Genomic DNA, 26,575 nt, shown 5'->3' on the forward strand with positions numbered 1-26,575 from the left:
CATCCCATTAATGTATTTTTAAAACTGTGATTACAAACTTATTAAACACCTCTGATCACTCCCATAGATAATGAAAAAGGGTTCACTGAAATTTAACATGAATTTATTGTTAGAAAATACTTAGCAAACTATTATACAGTGGAAGTTTACTAATCCAAGAAAGGATGGCTTAAAAAAAAAAAAAAAGCCTTTGCAAGCAGAAATCATGTTAATGGAGAAATGTTGGAAGCATTTTTTAAAAAGATGTGGAAGAAGATGTTAATGCCCTCAATCACCAGTTAGTATTATTAGAAGTCTTTCTTAGGTTTTGCAGTACTACAGTAAATAAAGAACATTTATTTATTGGAAAAAGGAAAAGCATTGTTGTCAATTGTGTATGTGTTTGTGAAGAAAACGAATCTATACATAAAATAATAGAAACAATAAGAATTTAGCAATGTTGCCAAACACGAGATTACTATAGAAAAGTTCAGGCTAGAGCAGTGGCTCACGCCTGTAATCCCAGCTCTTTGGGAGACCGAGGTGGGCAGATCACTTGAACCCAGGAGTTCGAGACCAGTCTGGCCAACATGGCGAAACCCCAGCTCTACTAAAAATACAAAAAATTAGGCAGTCGTGGTGGTGCATGCCTATAGTCCCAACTACTTGGGAGGCTGAGTCGGGAGGATCGCTTGAACTCAGGAAGTCAAGGCTGCAATGAGCCAAGAGTGCACCATTGCCCTCTAGCCTGGGCAACAGGAGTGAGACTCCATCTCCAAACAAAAGAATGAAAAGTTTATTTCACACCAACAAGGAATACTTAGAAAATATAATGCAAAAAGAAAAGATACCATTCGTAATAGCAATGGCAGTCATAGACTACACATAGGAATATGTTTATCAAAAGATTTACTGAAATTCACGAAAAAATCTTGAGAGAGAAATGGATAGGAAAGTCAATATCATAAGAGTATCAATTCTACCCAAATTCATATATAAATTCAGTGCATTTCCAATTGAAATCTCCACAGAATTTTCTTTGAGAGACTGTACAGGCCGATTCTAGCATTGATACGGAACTGTAAAAAGAAAAAAAATAGTTGGGATGCTTCTGAAGAAGAATCAGATCTAAGGGGGCTTGCCTTACTAGGCGTCAAGACTTATTTTAAAGCTGTGTTAATTATGGCAGTGGTATATTGATGCAGGAATTCACAAATAGACTAGTGAAACAGGGTAGGGTCTAGAAACCAGCTCATTTTTGTATGTAATCTTGATTTATGACAGAGCAGTCACTCATAGTTACAGCAGAAGAAAAAGGGACCATTACATAAATAGTGGTGGAACAACTGGTTATCCATAGAAGAAATAAATGAAGTTGGATACTTACTGTATATCATAGTTAAAATCAGTCCCTTGAAGATTAAAGTCTTAAATATAAAAAACAAAAAAAAAATTTTTTTAATTAGTTGAGTGTGGTGTTATGTGATCCCAGCCGTGGTCCCAGCTACTCAGGAAGCTGAGGTGGGAAGATCACTTGAGGAGGTCGAGGCTGCAGTGGCCCCTGATTGCACTACTGCATTCCAGCCTGGGTGGTGACAGAGTAGTGATACCCTGTTTCAAGGGAAAAAATAAAAAATAAAAACACTTACTATACAATTGTTCTGTAGTTGGCATTAAACAGGAATGTTTTGAAAGATTTCTTAACTTGCTTTTATGACATCAGGAGAACAGTGGTGTGTCCCATCATCGATGTGATCAGTGATGATACTTTTGAGTACATGGCAGGCTCTGATATGACCTATGGTGGGTTCAACTGGAAGCTCAATTTTCGCTGGTATCCTGTTCCCCAAAGAGAAATGGACAGAAGGAAAGGTGATCGGACTCTTCCTGTCAGGTAATTAATTTGTCAGACATTTTGCCTAAAGTGTTATTGGCAGAAGGTTGTGGAGCTTTGGGAATCATATCAAATGGATAAGTGTATTTTGAGAAACGTGAAGCATTCGTATACCTTATGGTAGTTAACAGCCATCTTTCACATATGTGAGTGTTTTAAAGAAGGATTTCTCCTCTAATAAAATTAGAAATTTTTGCTTATTCTATAAATCTAGTGCACATGAGAAATGATGACATGCGTGTTTTTTCATTCCTTTATGAACATTTTGCAAATGCGTCAGATCTGTACTTTAATTCAGTTATTAAGGATAATAATACTTAGCTTAATTAATTGTGTCAGTATGTGAAGATACTACCTAAAACTGGGTCCTTGCATTAAAATGTACAATTTTAAATTCAGACTTGTACCATCTGGATGACAGTTATTGACTGGTAAAGTTAGAAAAGCTTGTGTAAAACATAAAAATAGCTAGAATTGACACAAAATATAAAAAAATTCATTAATCCATTTATTCTCTGATTTTTTTTCTCTACTTGGTCATATATAGATTTTTTTTTCAGGATGGAATAAAAATCTTCATGCTCTTTTTAGAACATGAAATTGAGACCTTTGAGCTCTTCTGAGCCATCCTAGAATTTAGCCCCATTGTACCGACCTGCTACTTCTGTATTAAGAGTTCCTTCAGAACCAGGCTTCAGCTTTTCTGTTTTTGGGCCTCCTGCGTCTGCCTTCCCTTGAATTCAAGTTCAGTTCTGGCAACACTGAAGAGATTTTCCACTGACTGTGTGCTTTTTTCCTTAGCCTGAGTTCTTAGTAGTAGTAGTGCAAGGGACTTTTCTTCTCTTTAGCTGTTAGTGCAATTCACTATCTAAATCAGGGGTTCCTAAACATTTCAAAAATGACAAAATTTTTTGAAAATCTGGTGAAAGCTATGGGTCTTCTCTAATGGAGAAAAATGCACATGTACATGCAGAAGATTTAGCACACAAAAAACTCAGGTCAAGAAAACCCTGTATTAAATGATAATTCTGAATTTTGGCTGTTTCTTTTAAATCCTTTTCTCATTCTTTTTTTCTTCTAAAATCAAAATAAGTCCAAACCTTTTTTGGAAACAACTGTTTCCTCTGGAAAGGCAATGAGTACATTTTAGGGTTCATCTTAAAATATAATCTTCGTGGTATCTTTGGTCCCTGTAACTTATTTTTTTCTCCTGGTTGGAGTTTACTTTTTCTCCATACTTGTTCTTTATAAAAATCAAATGGGCTGATATTCATTTATTTAAATCTTCCTTCATTTCTTAATAATTTCTCTGCTTAATTTCACATGTTCCCACTCCCTTTGCATACCTGAGCCCTATTTTGATGAATTAGACTCCTCTTTTGCAGAAAATATACCACACAGTCAGGAAGGAACATATTGATTTTATTCTATATTTTGTCTCCTCTCCTTAAAGATTTCTAGTGGGTATTAGGAAAAGACCTCACTGTTTCCATCCAGTTTATCTTATGTATTTATACTATTTGCCACCCTTTAGAACATGGCATGGTAACTCTAACCTCAATCTACTTGGTTAATATAGTCAACTGCCTTGAAGTTGCTAGGATCTGTGGAGTGGGTGCACAGTCAGATGGAGAGGATTGTGAGGAACAGCTTTAATTTAAGGAGTTTGAGATCTAAACTCAGTTAGGACCTGAGGGCCAAGAAAGATAGAAAGTACTCTTAGGACTGTGACAGAGAGGGATGTCTGGGCAGAAGCATGACACAGCAAGTCTAGCAGTCAGCATGACCATGGTGCAGGTCATGTGTGAAGACCAAATAACACAGCATAAAACACAGAAAGCCCCTGGGGCGTATGAAAGTTTATGAAGAGTGTGAGAATAAGTACTTACTCAGTAGTTATAAATAGTTATGAAACAGCTTTTAAAAACAAAAACTGATTGATTGTAAATTTTAAATTGCTAATGGTATAGCATTATTGAATTTCAGGACACCTACCATGGCAGGAGGCCTTTTTTCAATAGACAGAGATTACTTTCAGGAAATTGGAACATATGATGCTGGAATGGATATTTGGGGAGGAGAAAACCTAGAAATTTCCTTTAGGGTAAGTTCCCTTAAAAAAATTTAATCTTTTATTTAACTTCAAGTATAGATGTGCATTGATTATTCATGTATCTCTACATAAAAAATAAAAATTGAATTTAATACAAGTTTAATGTAACTTCAGAGCCTTCAGTCCATAAAAAGGACTGATAGTAAGGGTTCATTATAAACTATTGAAGCAAATAATTTAGTTACCTTTGAAGTTCAGCTATAAAACTTACACAAGATTCCCTAGTTGTTTTTAATTTTTATTATTTTCAAGGAAGTAATTTAAGCTCTAAAAGCTAATATATAGTTTGGATATGCTACTTTGCTGCTTTACTCTCAAAAACATAAATTTCACATTTAAACATAAATTTCACATTTTGTAATATGCTTTTTATTTTAGTGTGAAAATTTTTTTTATATAAAACCTAGTCACTTTACCAGCTTTATATTTTTCAATAAAAATGCGAAAGAATTCTAAAATGACTCTAAATTAATTTAACCCAGTCTACATATAAAGTCTTTGCATTTCATGTTCACTAGAATCAACATATCGTTTAAATGGCATTGCATATTTTTGCAAATAACCAACTTTAGACACATAGCTTATTATAGTGGAAATCACACTGACGTGTACTGTAATCTGAACCAGCGAGCTCACTTTGTTCCCAGTGAATCGCTTTGCCTTCTTGTCAAAGAGAGGGTTGGACTCAATATCACCTTGGAGATCCTATCCAGCTCTAACACTTATAATCCTGGGAAAACTTGAAGGTAGGAACACTGAATATTTAACAAAATCAGAACTTTCCAAAATGTTATTTTAATTATAAAGAGTTATGAGATTTTTAACTTGGTGGGGGGAATGTATTTTGAAAGAAACAGAAGGATTTCATTAAATTAAGGATGTAAGCCCATACTTGATCATCTTTCTTCTGCCCCTTTTTTTGTTTTTATTGTTCTAACAAAGACAACAAAACATGCTTTTACTGTCTCACTGAAGAACTTACAATGGATCTAGTTGAGATTCCTAGGTTCTGTTTCATGTACAAGCCGTGACGCAGGTTTGGAGAGGGGTGAACAGATGAGCATCTGGCTGGTTACTCCATGGTCAGGTTTTGTTTGGTGGTTGTTTTTAACCATGAGCCACATTAATAAATACATTATACATTCTGCACACACAAAACATAAAATTTAAACATTTTATGAAACAGTATGTCCTTGTTAACAAGTACAGGTTGCAATTCATCAATTTGAATTTATGATTCTCTTAGGTATAATGGCCTGCAGTTAGAAAAATACTGCTCTAGATCCCATATCTTTTCTGTATTTAGCCTTTAACCTATGTTTTCTTTATTTTAATCTTCAACTTTTGGTTTGATCAGAACCCAAATTAGAGAAATGTTTCTCTTGAGGAAGCACTGGCTTTGTAACCTAACCATACAGCCGGAGCCCATCATGTGCCCCTGATTTTGCGAAATTCCAACTGTGGAACCCAATAGATGTCAATACTTTTTTAAAAACTATCAATGTCATATATGGTCTTTGCTGTTATTTTCAGATTTGGTAGTATGGAGGTACTTTGGAAGCTTTTTACCAGTAACTACAATATGTTCCATTTAAGTTTAAACAAAAGCCAAACCCCTATTTAATTGAAAAGAAAAATACTATGGGAAAACTAAGGTGAACATTTCCTGATTACTCAGCTACATGTTACATGGTCATCTCTGCTGTTTTCAGATTTGGCAGTGTGGAGGAACTTTGGAAATTGTTACATGCTCACATGTTGGACATGTGTTTCGGAAAGCTACACCTTACACGTTTCCAGGAGGCACAGGGCAGATTATCAATAAAAATAACAGACGACTTGCAGAAGTGTGGATGGATGAATTCAAGAATTTCTTCTATATAATTTCTCCAGGTTAGCGTTGTTTTGCATTAGAAATACAAGGCTGTACCTTTGTTGACCCTGATCCTGGAGGAGAAGTAAGAAGGTTAGAAGTGAAGCTTTGAGCAGAGGTGAACACCTGCCTCATAAGGTCATTGTAAGGAATGAATGAAATCACACACAGTATAGAAAGTGCTTGGCAGAATGCCTAGAATAATATATAATTAACAGTAATAAATTATCCAGGTCAGTGTTGCTAGCCCAGGTTTTGCAGATGTTCTATTTTTTTTAAAACCTAACTGCAACATTTAGTATTTATTCCTGTGAAGTTTCATCTTGTTAAATTTTCAGCCATTTTTCTAGCTTATATGACTTTTTCTTGATTCTTGGAGTTTTCATTCAACATAACAAAACCACTGTTTTTGCAGTGGGTCATGAACGTTCTCTATAAGCAGGCCCTCAATGCTGTCATAGGAGGCTTTCGTCAAGTATCACAAGGCCACTGAGAGCCCAAAACGTGCCACAGGGCCTTCTTTCCGGAAACTTTGCTATTCAGAGTTTTGTAGGAACAGTTGTTCCATCAGCTATAAGTCGGCCTGACATTGTTACTAGTCCATCCTTATTTTTTAGTTACTGCAAGACTGTCAAGTGGCAGGGTGCACAGTTCAGTGAGTTGTGTGAGAGAAGCCTGACTGCAAACAATTGCTCTGTTTAATATTTGAGCAAAATAGACCTTGATTTTTTTGTTTGTGCCTTAACATATATTGAAGTTTACTGATCCCATATCACTTATATTTCATTCTCACATAAATGTCATTTTTCTCTGAAAAATTAAAACACATTTTAATGTATTTTCCTTGCTTTATACTTTTGGTGGATTCATGGTGTCTCCACTTGTATAGTCACATATCACCCAGCTGATACCACTGTTCTGATTCATCTGGCTTATTAGATTCAATATATAAACATGTGTTACCTAAAACAACACTAATAATTCAGAGTCAATTATTTCTTTCAACAGGTGTTACAAAGGTAGATTATGGAGATATATCGTCAAGAGTTGGTCTAAGACACAAACTACAATGCAAACCTTTTTCCTGGTACCTAGAGAATATATATCCTGATTCTCAAATTCCACGTCACTATTTCTCATTGGGAGAGGTAAGAAATATATATATATATATTCTATGTGGTTATTATGTTCTTACTTTTTTATTAAAAAAAAATAGGAGTTAGTTAAACTTCCAATAAGGAAAGTACCTTCATGTTAACATTTAACTTCTCTTGCTTCCTTCCTCCTTCTTACCACGTAAGTCTAAACTATATTCTTTTTTTCCCATTCCTCCTCCCTGAAAGTTGATTTCCACTGAGTTGATGCGCCTGGAGATAAGCTGTGTACTGTGGGGTCTGTTTTTCCCTATTCTGTCTATAGTGATGTGTTTCCTAAACAGACTGCACCATCTGCAATTGTGGATCTGTAAAATCTGTATATATATTAAAAAAAAAAAGACTTCTTTGCAGGTCTTTGTGAACTTGTAATTATAAGATGGCTTTTAGAAAAAAATATGAAGCCAAGTAGGGAAAGAAATCCAACCTTTTTGTGATAGAAATCAATAGAAGGACAATATTTCCTTTTATAAGTCACAGCAGCAAATGATGATATGTGTAGACAGGGCCACAAGCAGGCCTACCCCAGGATTAAATCTCAGGAAAAGTGGCCTCCCACTCTGAAGAAGGTTGTCACTTCTTCAGTCCTTTCATTCATTCAACAAATATTTGAGTACCTCTAGTATATGACAAGTACTGTTTTAAGTACTAGGAATACAGCAATAAGTAAAGCAGAGATCCTGCTCTTGTTGATCTTACAGTCCATGAGTAAGACAGATTATGAAAGGCACACAATATGTCAGGTGGTGGTAAGGGCAGAAGGGATAGAGAATGACTGACAAGTGAGCGTGGGTAGTAGTACTGTTTTATGTAAGGAAGTTGAAAGAGTACGGAAGTTGAAAGAGTCCTGTCAAGGTGATTTTGAGCAGAGATCTGAAGAAAGTGAATGAGCAGGTCATACGAGTTTTTAGGGAAAGAGTATTCTGGGCACAGGGAAGAACAAGTATAAAGGTTTCTAAGATGACAATGTACTTAGCGCGTTCCAGAAACAGCAGGGAGACCAGTTGTCTGGAATAGAGTGAACAAGGTGGAGAGTAGTAGAAGATAAGGTCAAAGACAAAGTGAGGGTCAAATCATATAAAGCTTTTAGGTTATAGTGAGAACTTTGCATTTTGCATTTTATTCTGAATCAAATGGAAGCTATCGAAAGATACCAGCAAACTTCCACTAGAAAAGGATCACATTGTATGCTATGTGGAGAAAAACTATATGGAAACAGGAGTAGAGCTGGTGTATTGTTGAAGAGAGTAAAGGATTATGTCTGGTTTCTATCAAGCTTGAGACACTGACTGTAAAGTTGCCATTACTGAGATGGGAAAACCTACAGGAAGAGCAGATGCTCAAGGGAATCAACAGTAGTTTGGGACACATCAAATTTGAGATCCAAGTGAAGATATGAATAGGTCTTTACATTTAAGAATATTCACTTTGGGGGAGAGGTTGTGATAGAGATGTTAACTTAGGTTGTCAGCATATAGGATGGTTTTTAAAGCCACAAAACTGTATGAGGTCACCTGAGGAGGAGAAAATGTTAAGTATGAGAGAGAAGACCGAGGACAATGCCAGAGGGAATGCCACAGTTTAGAAATCATGGAGATGAGAAGGAATCAGCAAAAAAGATTGAGAAGGAGTAGGCAGTGAAATAGGAGAACCTAGAGAGTGGTGTCGCCAAGACTAAGGGAAAGACGTGTTTCAGGAAAGAGGAAGTGATCAGCTGTATCGAATACTGCAGAGAAATTGAGGAAGATGAGTACTTAGAATTGGTTATTGCATTTGGCTAGGGACATGTTATCAGTAGCCTATCTCACAGTGTTGAGAGAGTTCCCCATGGATGTTGTTAAAAACTCTGTTTTGAAGAGAGAATGGAAGAAGCAACATAGATGAATGTGTACAAGTCTTGCAAGGAATTTTCTTGTAAAAGAGAGAAGATAAATAGGTGGTAGCTGGAGGAGAATATGGGCTTAAAGGGGTTTTTATTTCTTTATTAAGATAAAACTGTGCTGATATGAGCAACCCAAAAGAGAAAATTTAAAGATGCAAAAGAAAGAGCCAACTTAACACCCATTAGAATGGCCACTATCAAAAAAACAGAGAATGACACATGTTGGCAAGGATACTGAAAAATTGGAACCCTTGTGCATTGTTGGTGTGAATGTAAAATGGTACAACTGCTATTTAAAAATAGTATGGAGGTTTCTCAAAAAATGCTCAAAAAAGAGAACTACGATATTATCCAGCAATTCCACCTCAGGGTATGTATCCAAAGGAAATGAACGCAGGGTCTGAAGAGTTACTTTTACTTACATGTTTATAACAGCACTATTCACAATAGCCAAGAAGTAGAAGCACTCCACGTGTCCGTTCATTCTGGCCCAGCTAGCAATGCTTAGGCATTGTCCAAAATTGGGTCAGTTCAAAGTAAAAAACTCCTCCTTCTTGGTTCTAAAGACAAGCTACAGAGTGACTGCTATAAATCGTGATACAACGTACAATGGAATATTTTTCAGTCTTAAAAAGGAAGGAAATTCTGATACATGCTACAACATGGATGAACCTTGAGGACCTTATGTTAAGCATAATACGACAGTCACCAAAAGAGAAATGCTGTATGATTCTCCTTATATAAGGCAGCTAGAATAGTCAAACTCATAGAAACAGAAAGTAGAATGGTGGTTACCAGGGCTGAGGGAAGGGCCTAAAGAAGAGTTACTTCATGGGCATAGAGTTTCACATTTGCAAGATGAAAAAGTTCTGGAGATTTGTTTCACAACAGCCTGAATATACTTAACACTACTAAACTGTACACTTGAAAACAGTTTAGATGGTAAATTTTATGTTATGTGTTTCTGCACCAGAATAAAAAGAAAGAAGGGATCTGTTGTTATGGGTGTCATGTATTTGGGTGGATAGGAGGTGAAATCTGTACACAAGTAGAGGGTGTTGGGTGGGGGTGGGAAGAAGAGAGGTCATCTCTTATCATGGGGAGGAAGGTAGAGGAATGGGAACAAGTGCAGGGCAGCTGTAGGTTTGGAGGTGGAAACTGGCAGTTTGTGGTGGAAGTGTGAGGACCTTCTCTTCTGGTGGCTTGTTTCCTCAGTTGAACACAAGATTATGGGCTGAGAGTGAAGAAGGTGTTGGTGAGGGGGAATTGGGGAAAGAGAAAAGGATGTAAAATAGAAATGTAAGATAAGGGAAAGCAAGTAGATCACTGAAGGAAGCCAGATGGTGGAGAGTTGGTGAAGCCATCTGGCCTGGTGTTTTCTTCAGTGCCAGGGCAGGCACAGACTTACGCATTTATCCTAACAGTTACTAAGGCTACTTCAGGATTGACTTGAGCTCCCTACCTCTGAACCTTGTTGTGATTTAAGGAATTTGTTTTCAAACAAGTGAGGGCTACATTGAGTTTCTTGAGCCTTTCATTCTCACTGATGCCTCATTAATGGGAATGTGTTTTCCTTTGCTGTGACCTCGTACTGGTCAAAGAAGGCCCAGGGTGAGTGGTGCGCCAGGGAAAGATTTCTAGCAGTCACTCTGCAGCTTGTCTTTAGAACCAAAAATGAGGAGTTTTTTGTTTTTGTTTTGTTTTTTTTGAGCTGACCCAATTTTGGACAATGCCTAGGCATTGTTAGCTGGGCCAGAGTTCGGGCGTGTGACAAAGAAACACTTGTCTGCTCCATGGTAGATGACTGCCAAGGCAAGCTTGCGTCTTACCTGCCTCTTGCCAGCTGGCTTCTGGGCAAGTCGCAGCGTTTACCCTCTGTGGCCTGCTTGTTATCGCCTTATTAACTTAACAGCTGGCCTTAAGCCTTGTACGCCCTTAATACCAGGCCACATCCTACAGGTTAAAAGTGTCATTTCTAGATTGGAGGTCATTCTTAAGAGTACCCACCATAGTGCAGCCCAGGGATCTTATGCTTCTGATCACAGCTTCACCCATGTGAGCCTTCCTTTGCTAGCAACAGTAATTTAGCCTTTCATAGATCTCTTCTCATGCTTCAAGGGTCCAGGGAAACCTGAAATCATAGGATTTTTCAGCAGAAAGGGAAATCAGAAAATGTAAATATGACTAGGGTAATAGATATAATTTAGGGCATCTGGCTTCAGCTAACGCTGACGTTCGTAGTTCCTGTAGGACCTGAACAAATGTGTTTCATTGTGGTATCTGATAGTTGTTAACTCAGGAGCTGAGTATTCTAAACAACAAAAAGTAAACAATCTAGACCTTTACTGGTTTAGTCAGTTTTAGGGGCTGACCAATTGCTTTTCCAGGCAGATCTAATAATCCTAACATTTACTGAGCATGTACTTTATGTCAAGCACAAATCTGAATGCTTGATGAATATTAAAGCACAACACTATAGGATTGTGCTGTTATTTCCACTTCACAGATAAGTAAACTGAGACACAAATAAATGGTTTAAAAAACACGGCTAAACTCACAACCATCTGGTTTGAGAGCCTGTGCTGTTAACCCCTAATGTCCGTATTCTTTCTCAAATCTAACCAGTATTTCCCTTGCAGCAGAGAGTAGAAAAGTGAATCCAGATTCACTAATGCTAGATTATAAAAATGGTTTAACAAAGCTCTTACATTGTCCACCCTAATGGAGATACTGATTCTGGAGGAGACTAATAGTAGAAACAAAGAAACTTAAGCTCTAACCTCTTGCCTGGTTTTCCAAGAATGGGTGCATTCACAATTATTTTCAATTCCTAATGTCAAAAATAGTAGTTTTAAAGTGGCAGTCAGGTACAGCTAAGTTGCTACTTCCAAAGGGGGGTTGAAGAGTTGCTGGGTCTGTGGATAAAGGAAAGAAAACCAACGGTTACTGTGTGCCTGCTATGTATCTGTCCCTGCTAGAGCCTCTGTATGTATTATCTCATTTAGAGCACTTAACAAACCTGAGAGAGAGAGAGATTTATCCCTGCTTTACCAATGAGAAAGGGTTCTTATAGCAGTGTTTTTAATTCTGTGTTGTAAATAATATTGATATCTGATGTCCCCAAGGTGCTCAATTAGAAAGGCGAAGTGCTGGGGAGAAGGAGGTAGATTTTGAGGTCAAATATGTTTGGGCAATACTATTTTACATCTTACATCCATCTGTACCACCATTCCCCGGTCCTACCAATAGTCATGATATATTAAAAGGCTTTGAGAAGTCCTTCAACAAAGAAACCTATTTAAATTTATTTAACTAGTATTTCCCAAACATATCTGATCATAAAACACCTTTTTTATTGGGGCACCTTGCAAGATGCTGTTCTTCAGATTGTGGTTTTTGGAATCACAGTCTTAGAGTAAATAACCTGCCCAAGGTCTCATGGCTAGTCAGGAATGAAGCACCATCTGCATGTCCCCACAATCTAAACTCTCACCCCTACAGACACTTTGAAAGTGTGGATATTCACACACTGTAAGTCAGACACTGCTGTGATTCAAGTAGAAAAGTTTGTTTCTAACAGCTCCTCACCCTTTATGATACTCTCAGTTTGTACATCGTTTCTAGATTGTTTTGGCTTGATTCAGTGGCGTGCCTGGCCACGTAAGGAAAGATGAGTTAATCAGCCATAAACAATTCCTATGAAGAGGACCATTAACCCACTGATCTTTCCCCTTGAAATAACTTAGATCTCCTAGGATTTACACTGTTTCAGAAAGTACAAACCAAACTTGGGCACTTTCCACGTGACTTTCATAGGGTGGCCAATGGTGTGAGAACTTGGGTTTATTAGCATGTTGTGCAACTTTTCCCATCGTTGGCAAGTAGCTCCTCACAAATGGTGGAAGATTTTCTCCTATGTGTCAGCATCTAGACCTGCACATCTGACGTGTCGGCTACACTGAATTTAATTAAAATTAGGCCACGCCTGGTGACTCACACCTGTAATGGCAGCACTTTGGGAAGCCGAGGTGGGTGGATCACTTGAGATCAGGAGTTCGAGACCAGCCTGGCCAACATGCCGAAACCCCATCTCTACTAAAAATATGAAAAATTAGCTGAGTGTGGTGGCCCGCATCTGTAGTCCCAGCTACTCGGGAGGCTGAGGCGCGAGAATTGCTTGAACCTTGGGGGTAGAGGTTGCAGTGAGCCAAGATTGTGCCACTGCATTCCAGCCTGGGTGACAGAGCAAGAGACTGTCTGAAAATATAAAATAAAATAAAATAAATGAAAATAAATGTAATTAAAAGTAAATAGAATTTAAAGCCTGGTTCTTCAGTCACAATAGCCACATTTGAAGTGCTCAATAGCCACACATGACTAGTGGCTGCTACCATATTAGCACAAATATAGACATTTCCATCATCTCAGAAAGTTCTACTGGATGGTGCTGGAGACATTAACAACTGCTGTTTTAAAACAGCCAACACGGCCAGGCGCCGGTGGCTCACGCCTGTAATCCCAGCACTTTGGGAGGCCGAGGTGGGTGGATCATGACGTCAGGATTTCAAGACCAGCCTGGCCAAGATGGTGAAATCCTGTCTCTACAAAAAAAAATAAAAAATAAATTAGCCGGGCATGGTGGCAGGCGCCTGTAATCCCAGCTACTTGGGAGGCTGAGGCAGAGAATTGCTTGAACCCGGGAGGCAGAGGTTGCAGTGAGCCGATGTCGCACCATTGCACTGCAGCCTGGGCGACAGAGTGAGACTCTGTCTCAAAAATAAAATAAATAAAATAAAATAAGCCAACACAGGAGGTTACCCATCTGTCTCTGTATCATGTACTGCTACCCTGTCATTTCACTCATTTCTCCTTCCCAGGTCCTAAGTTGAAGTGGTCATATTTGCCTTGTCAAATCTATTGTTTTCAAATCTTATAACTAATGTATGCCCCCTCTAATTCTCTCTACTCTGAAATAATTTGGAATTATCATAACATAATTCATAGGGATGTATCATATCAAATTCCCAAGCCATCCTGTCAGTAGATACCTTCCTACTTGGTTAAGGAGAATATCAGGACCATATTGATATTCAGGAGTATCTACTTCAACCAAGAAAAGCTCCCTTCTTTTCCCATATCAAATCTGCCTTTTATTTAAGGGTTCCTGATAATTTAGAATCTCAGTTGCTGTTAGATGTCCTGATGACTACTGAATATGTTACCAAACAAGGCTCACTTCTTGCTTTTCTCTTTCCAGGATAGTCAAGAGGTGACTTGAAAGGAGTGAACTAAAGGAATTGGTAGTGTAATAAGACCACTGAGCAGTTAGCTGTAGACTGTGTGTACACCAAGAAATGGGATAAAATCCTCTGAAGAGTGGGAGACTCCAGAAAGAATCTAGCCCATTTGTTCCTTAAACTTCAAAATACCCCTTATCAGAAGGTTCTCACTCTTTTTAGAAGTCCAACAAATAAGACATTTGCCTAGAACATCCTTAAGAGCTAGTCCTCAATTCTTGAATGTATTTTCTCTTCCTTCTATATTTTCCAAATTCTGCTGTTTTAAAATTTTTTCAAATGTCAGATTTTGAATAACCAACCCAAATACCTATTTTCATCCCAGTATAAACTTGAAACAAGTATGTGTTGTCACCCTTTCTACCCTCCACATCTCATTAGAAAGCTGGTAATTGGTTATATAGTCTTAAAGCTATATGGAATTACAATTTTGAACATTTGATTCAGCATCCCTAGAAAATGTTTGTTCCTCATTTTCCCTTTCTCCAAAGGCTCTTCAAACTTAACTCCCGGCAAACAAACCTATTAGGTGGTCCTCTCCCTCCTAGAATCCTAGAGGACAAAACTTACCCCATAGTCAACCTAATTTTCCATGTCCTTGAGGAAAACATCTTACACACCCCATAGATGAGGTAGTCCACATGTATCACTACACAGAAAAGAATGTTCTCTGAAAACTCTATATTCTCTAGCCAGGCGGTATATAGAGGGACCCACCTGGAGAGCAGATGTCCCTTCAGCTACAAAGAAGCCACATATTTGTTGAGCCAAACAGAATCCTCTGTCCTCTAATGTGAAATTCACTTAGGGACTCTAACATCATAGCTGTGCTCTTTCAGAAGTGTAATCTCCAGTTTCTCCCCTTTACATCAGAGGAGTGCCTCCAGGCGCCACCAGGAGCCTGAATCTGGGTCTCTGACCATGCCACCCACCTCACCTGGGCCTCACTGACCATATGTTGTTGATGCAGTTTAGTTACTCCTCACTCTAACAGCTAATGGGAAGCAGTGGTTTCCAGTCCTTGGAGAAACTCCACTTTCAACATCTAATGGTCAGTAGTAACCCCAAAGGATAGAGGCCCAGATCTCGCATGTCAGGAATTAGTTATAGGAATCTTGTAAGGATGGTATAAGCTGTTATGTACAAATCTCTTACAAAATAGAGGCAGGGTCTCATCATGTTGGCCAGGTAGGTCCCAAACTCTTGAGCTCAAGGGATCCTCCTGCCTCGGCCTCCCAAAGTGCTAGGATTCTACATGCATGAGCCACCACGCCCCGCCAAGAATTGCATTTTTTGTTTTGAATTTTGGTAAAAGATAGGCAATTATTTAAGCAAATGGCCATTCCATATGAGAGCGAGAGAAGCTGAAGATAACACTGGTGTTAATCTAATAATTCCTGTGGCATTTATCATCTTTCTTTAGCCACCTTTATTTACATCTGCATTTGGGGGAAGAAATAGAGGAAAACAGGATTGGAGAGTTTATAATTTATATCAAAAGTATAAGGAAATAATTATTTTTTGTGAATATATGAGATAAATACTCATCTTTATCACAATATGAACTTTTTTTTTTTTCTTTAAGAGACAGGGCCTTGCTCTGTCACTTAAGTTGAAGTGCAGTGGCACAATTATAGCTTACTGCAGCCTTGAACTCTTGGGCTCAAGTGATCCTCCCACCTCAGCCTCCCGAATAACTGGGACTACAGGCGTGAGCCACCATGCCTAAGATTTGTATTTTTATTTTTTGTAGAGACAAGGTCTTGCTATGTTGCAAGTCTTGAACTCCTAGGCTCAGGCGATCCTACTGTCTTGGCCTCTTAAAGTGCTCGGGTTATAGACATGGGTCACTGTGATTGGCCCAATCTGAGCGAAATTCTTTTTCAAGTGAGATAGCCATCATCGTCTGGTATTAATTGATCACCTACCAGGATGAAGGAAGGTGTGCTTTATGCAAATTGGTATTTTACCATAAAATCTTTTATACAACCTAACACAACCTATTTATGAGGGAATAGGTTTCACAATTAATGGATAAAAAATGATGATGTAAATTATGTGGTAAAAGAACTCTTGGAAACATATAATGTATTGGACCCTGAGAAAAAAACATTTTGAAATTTCTAGCTTGAATAATTGGACAAGTTGTGGGAATAGTAATAAAAATAGGGATATCAGGAAAACGGGAAATTTTGGAGAAATGATAATGAGGTTTGTTTTAGGTAGCACTTCTCAAGAGGGGATGGGGTGGGGACGTATTAAAATGTGAAGATGATTAAGTGTTCATATTAGAAAATTGAGAAATTCTGTTTTGAACGAACCGAGTTTGAGATTTTGGTGGAATAGCAAGATGGATGTGACTAGTGATAAAGTGACAGTGCAGATTATTACTGTCTCTGAGCCTGTTCATGCTGGACTCTGAATTAGGTGCCTGGATACATTGTCTTACATAGCATCAGCACAGAACTGACATTAGCATAGAACTGACATTACCCCCCCAGTTCCTGATCTCAAAAGGTTTAGGTAACTTGTATTTAAACCTGAGTCTTCTATGTCAGAACCCTGGTTTTTATTCCTGGCTGCTTGGGAATATTGGAATAATATGCAGACTGTATATGTGTTTATAGAAGTAACTGGCTTTTTTGTGGTTTTAACTTTACCCCTACTTTATCTATCACACAAAATTAGTTACCTTTTTTAAAAAGTCTACATGACATGACAGATGTAGTTTCTCTTCTGGCTTAACCTGCTGACAGTACCGTACATAGGAATAGATTTAAGACTTTCAAACATCTGTTAATTTACCATATGCTTTTAAAACTGCAACAGTTTAGAGGAAACAAAATATCAAGGGGCATTACCTAAAATATTCCTCCTAATTCTGATGACTGACTTAAATTCCTTTTATGTAATCCACAAATGTCTAGTGAAAGAGTAGAGTTTGTACCACACTATGCTTAAGCTTCCAGGTAAGACAAGTTCCAAGCTCTTTGACTAGAGTCATCTTAGTCTCTCCTAAGTCATCAGAGTAGTTATCAGAATTAATGTTCTTGTCTTGATTGATAATAGTGTCATCAGGGAGTTAATTTTTTAAATCATTAACCAAAGTAGAGTTTGTTGAACTCAATACAAATTTGAAAGGAATAACTTGAAAAAAATGAAAAAAGAAATTGTAAGGATTTTCCCCCATAAACACAGAAAATTACATAAACAGTTGTAAGACCTTTCTAGACCAATGAATTTTAGATACTCAGACAGCGATAGGCCAATAGGCCATTTCAGAGTAGGGCCAGGGAAAGTTTAGGTTGATATTTAGTGTATATGTGTGTGTATCTGTCTGTCTAATTAACTTCTCCAACTCCTGATATTTTCATTATTTATTGTCCCATAGATACGAAATGTGGAAACGAATCAGTGTCTAGATAACATGGCTAGAAAAGAGAATGAAAAAGTTGGAATTTTTAATTGCCATGGTATGGGGGGTAATCAGGTGAGTATCTTAGAAAACTCTTAAAAGGGATAATTTTCAGATTGTTTTTACTTTGCCTTTTTTTTATACCATGACATCATTCAGGAAATATTTTCCTTCCTTTAAAGAGAAAATAATAAAGACTTTTAGGTGAAGGAAGCTTTCAATCCAGTGATTTTTTTTTTTAATGAAACATTTGTGAAAGGCCCATTGTGAGAACTATGTTTACATTGCTGAGCACAAAATTTATTTTGCCCTTTTTATTCAAACAGATGACAACCCTTGACAATACATTCAGTGTATACAGAGAGCTCAAGGTCATTTTTGCTTCAGCTTGTAAGCAAGAAAATGAGTAACATAACATCAATGTAAATTAGTGGTAGCTTTTCTGAGTCACTTTATTCTTCATTACTTTAATAAAGTACATAAATCATGTACCTTGAAATACTTGTATTTTCCCTGACAGCTAATTGGGCATTTAAAATGCTGACTAATTTATTTTTTCTGTTTATGTGTGTGCATTTTTATTTCCAGGTTTTCTCTTATACTGCCAACAAAGAAATTAGAACAGATGACCTTTGCTTGGATGTTTCCAAACTTAATGGCCCAGTTACAATGCTCAAATGCCACCACCTAAAAGGCAACCAACTCTGGGAGTATGACCCAGTGGTAAGTTATGCAGTTGCCTATAGTAATAAAATTATGTGTGTCACTGGGTATATTTATATACTTTATATCTAAAGGAATGAGTTCTTGTGGACCTTGAATATGGATCAAACTTGTCTTATACACTAAATATTGACAGGCGGGAAAAATAAGTAAAATAAATGTGTTTTAATCTCCCTAATAATTAAATTTTAGTCTTATAAAATCACAGTTGCCTCCAATCCCTGGGTCCTTGTTTACTGAGTAGCCACTGTTCCTTCTGTATGTCTTCAAGTTCTATAGTCTAGTTTGGGAGAAATGAGGCAGAAAGTAGGCTTTTAAAATTACTTAATTAAACACTTCAGTGAAAGATAAGTTTTAATTAATAAAGTTCTCTGGCTTGTGATGATTTCCCAGTGACATATATGACAGAACCTTTCCTATTTATCTTTCCTTTTGTCTGGAACCTTTCTCTCCACCACCATCAAATGGGCTCACATGGAAGTACTTAAAAGGTATTAGTTCAATTAAAGCATCCGTGGTAAACCTCTTTCCACCTATTTGCCTAATTTTTCAACTTGTGCTTTTGCCAGGTTCTGGAACCAGCACCAACATCTTCAATATTTCTTTCTCTGGTTCTTTTTAATTTGGCTTAACTTCTGTAAGGCATTTAGTGCCACTAAACAGATGACTTTTTTTTTTTTTTTTGAGGCAGGGTCTTGCTCTGTCACCCAGGCTAGAGTGCAGTGGTACAGTCACAGCTCACACAACCTCCACCTCCCAGGCTCAAGCTATCCTCCCACCTCAGCCTCTAGAGGAGCTGGGACCACAGGCACACGCCATCATGCCTGGCTAATTTTTGTAATTTTGTGGAGACAGAGTTTCACCATGTTGTCCAGGCTGGTCTTGAGCACTTAGGCTCAAGCGATCCACCCGCCTCAGTCTCTCAAAGTGCTGGGATTACAGGCATGAGCCATCATATCTGGCCTGATATTTTCTAATTTATTTTTTTTTATTTTTTATTTTATTTATTTATTTTTTTGAGATGGAGTCTCGCTCTTATCGCCCAGGCTGGAGTGCAGTGGTGCAATCTCGGCTCATGCAACCTCCACCTCCCTGGTTCAAGCTATTCTCCTGCCTCAGCCTCCTGAGTAGCTGGGATTACAGGTGCCCGCCACCATGCCCGGCTAATTTTTGTACTTTTAGTAGAGACAGGGTTTCTCCATGTTGGCCAGGCTGGTCTTGAACTCCTGACCTCAGGTGATCTGCCCACCTCGGCCTCCCAAAGTGCTGGGATTACAGGCATGAGCCACTGCACCCAGCCTGGCCTGATATTTTCATATCCTCTTATGCCTTGGCCATAAGATGCACTACTGTTTAGGTTCTTCTCTTAGTTTGCTCTCTGTTCCTTTTGTTGGCCTGGCTCTCTCTCCTTCTTCGTCCTACTCCTTAAATGGAAATGTTGTCCCAAGTTACTGACTTTGGCCATCTTTCCTCCCTTTACTGTGTCATACACCAACCATGGTCTACTTTAATCATCAATATGCTGTTCTCTGAACATACCTTATACTTTCCTAGTTCACATCTAAGATAATATGCTTCCCTCTGCCTGACACACCTTACCCATTCTTAAGAACCCAGCTTTGACATCACTTCCATGAATCCTAACCTGAAATTAACTCTGTCAATCTTAATTACAGTCATCTCTGACCTCTATAAAGCTGTACTTGTTTGTAGTTATTTATCTAGCAATCTTTTCTCCACTATTAGATTGTTAGATCCTAGAGGACAGAGATCATCTTTTATAAATCCTGGGTCTCCTTTCACAATGTCAGGCTATAGAAAAAATGATATTACCTATAATAATAGCTCAGTTAATATGGCCATTGGAAATGGCCTGAATGCTCTGTTCTAGGGTTTCCCATGGTATGTGCCACTGCCATTTTGGGTGTGACTGCCCCATGCATTGCAGGGTATGTAGCATCTCTGGCTCCAGATAGTAAGTGCTAGTGGCACCCCATAGCCATTGTGACAACCACAAAATTTTAAAAATGAAAAACCTCTTAAGTTTATTGGAAAATGACAGTATATTAATTAGGCAGTATTTTTAGAAACCTATTTATTATAGCTAAAACAAATAGGGATTTATTTTTCTTACATAAGTCTAGAGGTAAGTAAATTCAGTGGCATAGTGATGTCAGGGATAACGTTGTTGTAATATTCTTAGCTTTTCCTTGTGGCCACAAGGTGGTTGCTGCAGCTTTATCGCATCCCAACTCCAGGCAGAAAGAAAAGGGAAAGAGGAATGGTACACTACCACATGTGTTGCTCTTTATTAGCAAAGTAAAAGGTTTTTCTGGAACCCCCTTAGCAGGCTCTGCTTATGTCTTATGGACCAGAACATCCCATGGTGACCCCCAGCTGCAAAGGAAGCTGGGAAAGCAAGTCTTTGGTTTTCTAGTCGTTAGAGTGTGAGATGGCCAAGAGATAGAGGGATTGGGAAAGACTGTTGGCTAGCCAACCTACACAGTCTACCACAACAGTATTCCAAAAGTAAATGTTTGATGAAACAGGTAAGAAGCTGGAGATAAGAGTATTTAGAAAGAGCCGGCCGGGCGCGGTGGCTCAAGCCTGTAATCCCAGCACTTTGGGAGGCCGAGGTGGGCGGATGACGAGGTCAGGAGATCGAGACCACAGTGAAACCTCGTCTCTACTAAAAATACAAAAAATACACCATACAGGCATGGTGGCAGGCACCTGTAGTCCCAGATACTCAGGAGGCTGAGGCAGGAGAATGGCGTGAACCCAGGAGGCGGAGTTTGCAGTGAGCCGATACCGCGCCACTGCACTCCAGCCTGGGCGACAGAGTGAGACTCCATCTCAAAAAATAAAATTAAATTTTAAAAAAAAGAGCCAGTTATGAGTGTGAAGTTTTAAAACTTCTAGATCGCTTTGCAAGGTTTTTTCCTGCTGAGATAAAACATTAATGCTGGGGATTGATTTCTCCCAGAAGCAGACTCGAAGATAAAGTTGAGCATTCAGGATGTTTGTTAGGGAGCACTTTCTGGGCCAATATCTGTAAAAGGAATACCTCCCTCTCCCTGGGCAGAGGGAGAAGTTGAGTTGCAATGCAGGTCCAACAGCCTGAGCAGACTACAGGGAAAGCACTGGAGGGGAACAGCCCATCAGAATCGTCCTGCCTCCATCCATTGAAAACTTAACAGTCTAGAAAAATAACAGAATACTTATGTCCATTATCTGTAATCTAAAATCATGAATTCTTAGATTTCAAAGCAACCCTAGAAATTAAACCCAGGATACTTTTTATACAAGTAGAAATTGAAACTCAGAATTAATTTCCCAAGGAAATTAATTGCCCAAGGTCTCTGAGCAGCCAGATAGTATGACTAGATCTCAAATCTGGAATTCTAGATTCTCGATCCAGGTTTCTTTGCACAGTACCACGCTATTTTTGATTAATAGTTTTGAGTCTTGCTTGTATTACATATTACATAAAATTTACAATAAGGCACTGGGCTCTTTTGCTTTGACTACTTGTATCTGTCCTTTCTGGAATAAAATGCAGATTTTAGACCTAGTTACATCTAGAAATTAGGAGTAGGAGCTTGGCAAATTATTTTTTCTAGGATGCAGGTAGACTTTACTAAATGATTAATTATAGCTTTTATCCTCTCCTTCAAAGGTTACGGTTAGATGCTTGTCACTTGCTTGTCCTGATGCCTTAGTCCAGCTCTCTCTGAATGGAGACTAGTTGGTGTTGCCTGAGTCCTCTGAGGAGTGCTGTGATGACAGCATCCTACCCACAAGGTTCCAAGCCACAAGGCTCTGTGCCTGCTGTCAGCAGCCAGAGTTGTATCTGGAACAGGGTTCTCCACCAGAGTCTAGGCTTCCTGGGGGTGCTGCTCACCTTCCAAGTTATGGGGATTCTGTCCTGATGTCGAATAGTTAAATACTCAGCACAGAGCAATAACCTATGTGTTTGTGATGGGTTTATTTTAATGAATCTAGATGAGTGAAATGCACATTTTTAGAAACTAGGTTAAGAGAGACCAACTCTCCCAACTAAATTTTTTGTTGTGCCTAGTTGGGGGTTTTTTGTTTTTAGTAATAGTGACCATGGGCCTGATGAGGGAGGCCACTGGGATAAGCTTTGCGGGAACTCCCGGAATGTTTGAGAGGTTCTCTTGTTCTGGTCTTTCCTGAGACTGAAGCCACTGGCAGCAATGTGCACGCTGAGCCGCAGCGCTCTGGCTGCTGGATTGTGTCCATGACTGCTCAGGACGTTGCCAGGATGTTGTGTTTTCCAATAATAAGCATTACTCTATAAATGCAAATTACCATTGTATGTAAATGTCATTGTACCATTTATCAAGCATTTACTCTGGGATAGGCAGCACTTTATGTACATTATCTCAGTGTTTCCTCATAAAAACCCGGTGAGGTATTTTTGTCCCCATTTTATAGATGAGGAAACTGGGTCTCAAAGAGTTTAGGTTTTTGCTCAGAAGCATATAGTTGGTGTGTGACAAATCTGGAAATCACCCCAGGAATGTCTGACTGCAAAGCCCCTCCTCTCAATAAACTACACAAAGTCTGCATTAAAAAAAGAAAAAAAAATTCCCACAGCCATGCTGACTCTCTTCTAGGTTCTAGTCTTATATTTGGAAGCATTAAAGATAGAATCCTGAACCTAAAGACAGTATCAGTAGTGACATCTGCAAAGATAGACTGTCATCTGCCAGGTCCTACTTTGACCACAACACGGAAGAATAATAAATGACTGGAAGCCTAAGTAGTTGTATACAATTATTAGATTTTGTTTTAAGTTCTAATAGGTGCAAAAAAGGCCTCATGAAAATGAAATGTTTCAGATAAAAGAACTACATTAAAATAGAGCCATGAGTAAAAGAATCAGATAACTATGTGTTAAACATTTTACATTTCCTTCGAGTTAATTTACATTTGTAGAGTAATGCTTAATGCACATTCCTGTATACAACTACTTTGAAGTCCTTAACATGACCAGAGCATATTATCACAATCATTGGTGTGGATCATTGTTAACTATCTATCTGTTAATTCTTACCTGCCCTGCCCTTTCAAAATTATCCTAATAACATGTTGCTGCATCAAATCTAGAACTTAAATAAGTGGATAAAATATATAGCTATGTCTGTTAACCATTTATTAAGAATCTCTTTTGTAGGTGAGGCACTATGTACTTTATCTTCATTATCTATGTAGTTTCCCAAAATCTGCTCAAAATATGTAATGTGATCCTAATTTTTAAAATGAGAAACCTCAAGTTACCCAGGCTGTGAACTCAACTCCACATTCCTGTGCTTTTCTTTCTGTACCACACCATCTCCTTTAACCACCAGGATAGCCTCTGGGTTTGCTATGGACATAGGCATAAGATTGATTTTACTAAATATCAGCTGTCCCAACATTCTTATGATTTTGAGTTATCAGAAAGACCTGAGTTTCTAAAAACTTGAGCTTTGGAATCACAGAATTAACTTGAACAGCCTTATCATAGAGAAATGAAACAATTTTGAAATAGCTGTTTGAAAATAGGTTGAGGATCCTAAATTAGGAACCACTAATCTGGTCTTTTTTTGTTGTTTAGGAAACTGAAGCACAAAAAAGAGAAGCTTCTCATAGTGTTACAGAGCTTATGCCAGAATTAGGACTTAGAATTTAGGTCATCTTGCAGCAAGTCAAGTGTACCCTACTGGACCCCAGTGCCTTTCTCCCTCCCTCATACCTCTTTATCGACCTACATATCTACCTACTTCTCTCTCTCTCTCTCTCTCTCTCTGTTTCTCCATCCATCCACCTACCTACCTTTTCTCCGTTGTCTTTTAAATAATGTATATTACCAAAAAAAACACCTTTTCTGCAGAGGAACTTAATCACCAAAACTGATGCTTGAGGTGTTTTGTTTTCTTCCACTCTCATGTTAAGATTTTTTCTATTTCAGAAATTAACCCTGCAGCATGTGAACAGTAATCAGTGCCTGGATAAAGCCACAGAAGAGGATAGCCAGGTGCCCAGCATTAGAGACTGCAATGGAAGTCGGTCCCAGCAGTGGCTTCTTCGAAACGTCACCCTGCCAGAAATATTCTGAGACCAAATTTACAAAAAAACGAAAAAAATAAGGATTGACTGGGCTACCTCAGCATACATTTCTGCCACATTCTTAAGTAGCAAAAAAGGAAAAGTGCTTTCCTCCTCTGCAGGATGTAAGGTTTATCAGCCATTAAAACTTAGACTTCTCTAGCTTTTCACTAGCTGTGAACCAGCCTTCCTGTCCATGGACGTGAAACTGCATAGTAATGAGACTGTGCACACTGATGTTTACAAGATTGAAAGAGTCTTTCTCCGAAAATCATGGTAAAGAATACTGAGACAATGAAAAAAAATCAACAAAATATGCTTTCTGGAGAACTGTACCTTTTATGGTTTGCTTGCACATCAGTAGTTTCTGCTGAACGTGCTGTCATAATGAAGAGATTTCCAAGATTTTTTTTCCTGATTAGAACTGGTAGCCAGTATATTAAATATTGATATAAAAATAAAAGAACTGGAACCAGATTCAGAATCATGAAAACAACATTTTTACAACAACAAAAAAACTATATTAAACAGGGTTTAAAGGAAATTAAAACAGAACTATGAGAAGTACAATTTGTTATAGTATAGTATCAAATTTCTATATAGATTTTATACCTCAGTGGGGAAAAATAACTGATTCCAATGACATTCATTTTGTTTTCATCTGTGATAGTCATGGATGCTTTTATTTTCCTTGGGGTGCTGAAATTGAGCTGAAAAAAAAAGGCTCTTTGAATATAGTTTTAATTTCTCTCTACAGTTTTTTTTGTTTGGTTTGTGGGCTGTTGGAATTGTAATTTTTAATTGCCTTCTAAAAAATGGAAATTTAACAATGTCTGATCTCAGCTGAACAAATTAGATGTTTCAGTTGCTCTTGGGTCAACTGGCTTACAGATTTACATGTGCACACACACACAAATTTCTTATCACATTTTCGACTTCTTCACTTGACCTAACTGATTATGCGAAATACCCAAGATTCATGCTACTGTACCACAGATTTGTTTTCACAGCAATAAATCTTCAGTTCTTTGTTTATGATTCCACTTAACAAAAGGCCTGCAGAAGTGATTTATTATTTGGGTATTTGGAGATAATACATTTGATGGTTTTTTGGAAAACCTTTTTCACTCCATACTCAGATATGCTTCATTGTCAAATGCATATTTAGATTAGATTATTGAATTGTAATGTTTATCTGCTGCTTTTTTTAAATAAAATTTGACTGAAAATGTTTAATTGGCATTTTTTAATGACTTAGCCAAAGAAGTGCAGCTATTATTCCATATTAATAGGCTTGCATTTCTTTTCCTAAATCTTATTTAGGCTAAATCAGTTTTATTTTTCTCTGATTTTTTTTAATACCACAGAATCACCTGAGTGTCAATTGAAAGTTGTCAATTAAAAGGTAACCTTTTAATCTCGTAGGAGGAATCTCATTAAGACATTTTTCCTGATATGTAGAGCAGTCTGTTGGCAAAAATGCATATATTTTCTTTCATATTTGTAAAATTATATTTAATGGAATTCTTTTCTTTGATTATCAAGGACTTTCACTGCAGGCAGTGCTATTTCTTGTGCCTAAGAATGTTTCCAAAAGTCGCATCGCTAATGATATTTGCCAAGTTGAGTGTACACAAAGTTTCTCATATCCTGTTCAAGTTAATCAACATCAAGCACATGGGGATGCTTTAGGGTGAGTCTATAGTACAAAATGCATAAACCATGTCCCCAGGAAATTTGAAAGGAAGCAGGTGCTGAATGGAATTTTTTTCCTTTTCCATGAGCTGTGTTAATTCTATCTCCAGTAGGCCTAATGCTTGAATAAGCAAGATGTCTAATCAATAAATTATTTTCATGCTCAGAATTTCAGGTTTTTGTACTCCAGCATAGCTTGGTCTTATTTCTTACTGTATGAAAGCTTAACAGCAATGTGATTTAAGGTTTTGTTTTAAATGGGAGATGTAAGTGATTTAATTCATGGGTACTTTTAGAACCTGATAGATAATCCCATTGCCTTTATTTTTCTAATTAAAGAATTCCTAAATACTTTGAAAATACAAAATATTCCTGAATAGTTGTGCCTTACATTGGTTTTATTTGAAGTTAGAGTGGATCCCTGTTTATCATA

At 37.9% G+C, this 26,575-nt stretch overlaps 1 protein-coding gene and 2 long non-coding RNA genes across 17 annotated transcripts in view, besides 3 other annotated features; 1 reads left to right on the forward strand and 2 right to left on the reverse strand.

Annotated features, from left to right (window-relative positions):
- The window catches only part of GALNT1 (polypeptide N-acetylgalactosaminyltransferase 1), a 130,913-nt gene extending 104,392 nt beyond the window's left edge, over positions 1-26,521 (forward strand). For all 13 annotated transcript variants that reach the window (XM_047437466.1, NM_001384441.1, NM_001384439.1 and 10 more), the window contains 7 exons: positions 1,703-1,873; positions 3,860-3,977; positions 5,699-5,879; positions 6,868-7,007; positions 17,584-17,682; positions 18,196-18,330; positions 24,311-26,521. In XM_047437466.1, the coding sequence (XP_047293422.1) occupies positions 1,703-1,873; positions 3,860-3,977; positions 5,699-5,879; positions 6,868-7,007; positions 17,584-17,682; positions 18,196-18,330; positions 24,311-24,457 (991 nt within the window). In that variant the 3' untranslated portion in view covers positions 24,458-26,521. The remainder of the gene's footprint in view (positions 1-1,702; positions 1,874-3,859; positions 3,978-5,698; positions 5,880-6,867; positions 7,008-17,583; positions 17,683-18,195; positions 18,331-24,310) is intronic.
- Positions 754-1,618, reverse strand: LOC124904285 (uncharacterized). The gene is made up of 2 exons (XR_007066342.1): positions 1,367-1,618; positions 754-1,058 (listed from the first exon to the last, which is right to left on the reverse strand). It is a non-coding gene; the product is annotated as an uncharacterized LOC124904285 (long non-coding RNA).
- Positions 3,544-3,593: an enhancer, noted in NCBI's record as "active region_13230". NCBI's record gives its function as "activates an Ori minimal core promoter by ATAC-STARR-seq in GM12878 lymphoblastoid cells {active_cell/tissue: GM12878}" and the evidence as "EXISTENCE:reporter gene assay evidence [ECO:0000049][PMID:35858748]".
- Positions 3,614-3,663: an enhancer, noted in NCBI's record as "active region_13231". NCBI's record gives its function as "activates an Ori minimal core promoter by ATAC-STARR-seq in GM12878 lymphoblastoid cells {active_cell/tissue: GM12878}" and the evidence as "EXISTENCE:reporter gene assay evidence [ECO:0000049][PMID:35858748]".
- Positions 4,763-26,575, reverse strand: part of LOC105372064 (uncharacterized) — a 40,781-nt gene continuing 18,968 nt past the window's right edge. For 2 of the 3 annotated variants that reach the window (XR_001753412.2, XR_001753413.2), the window contains 3 exons: positions 11,676-11,810; positions 10,903-11,026; positions 4,763-5,933 (listed from right to left, as the gene is read on the reverse strand). This is a non-coding gene — a long non-coding RNA (uncharacterized LOC105372064). The remainder of the gene's footprint in view (positions 5,934-10,902; positions 11,027-11,675; positions 11,811-26,575) is intronic. The other variant, XR_935377.3, reaches the window with a different exon arrangement.
- Positions 17,792-18,086: an enhancer, noted in NCBI's record as "tiled region #10371; HepG2 Activating DNase matched - State 5:Enh". NCBI's record gives its function as "activates a minimal TATA promoter and a strong SV40 promoter by Sharpr-MPRA in HepG2 cells {active_cell/tissue: HepG2}" and the evidence as "EXISTENCE:reporter gene assay evidence [ECO:0000049][PMID:27701403]".

The sequence above is a fragment of the Homo sapiens genome, chromosome 18 (assembly GCF_000001405.40).
Source record: "Homo sapiens chromosome 18, GRCh38.p14 Primary Assembly".
NCBI classification, from domain to species: Eukaryota; Metazoa; Chordata; class Mammalia; order Primates; family Hominidae; genus Homo; species Homo sapiens.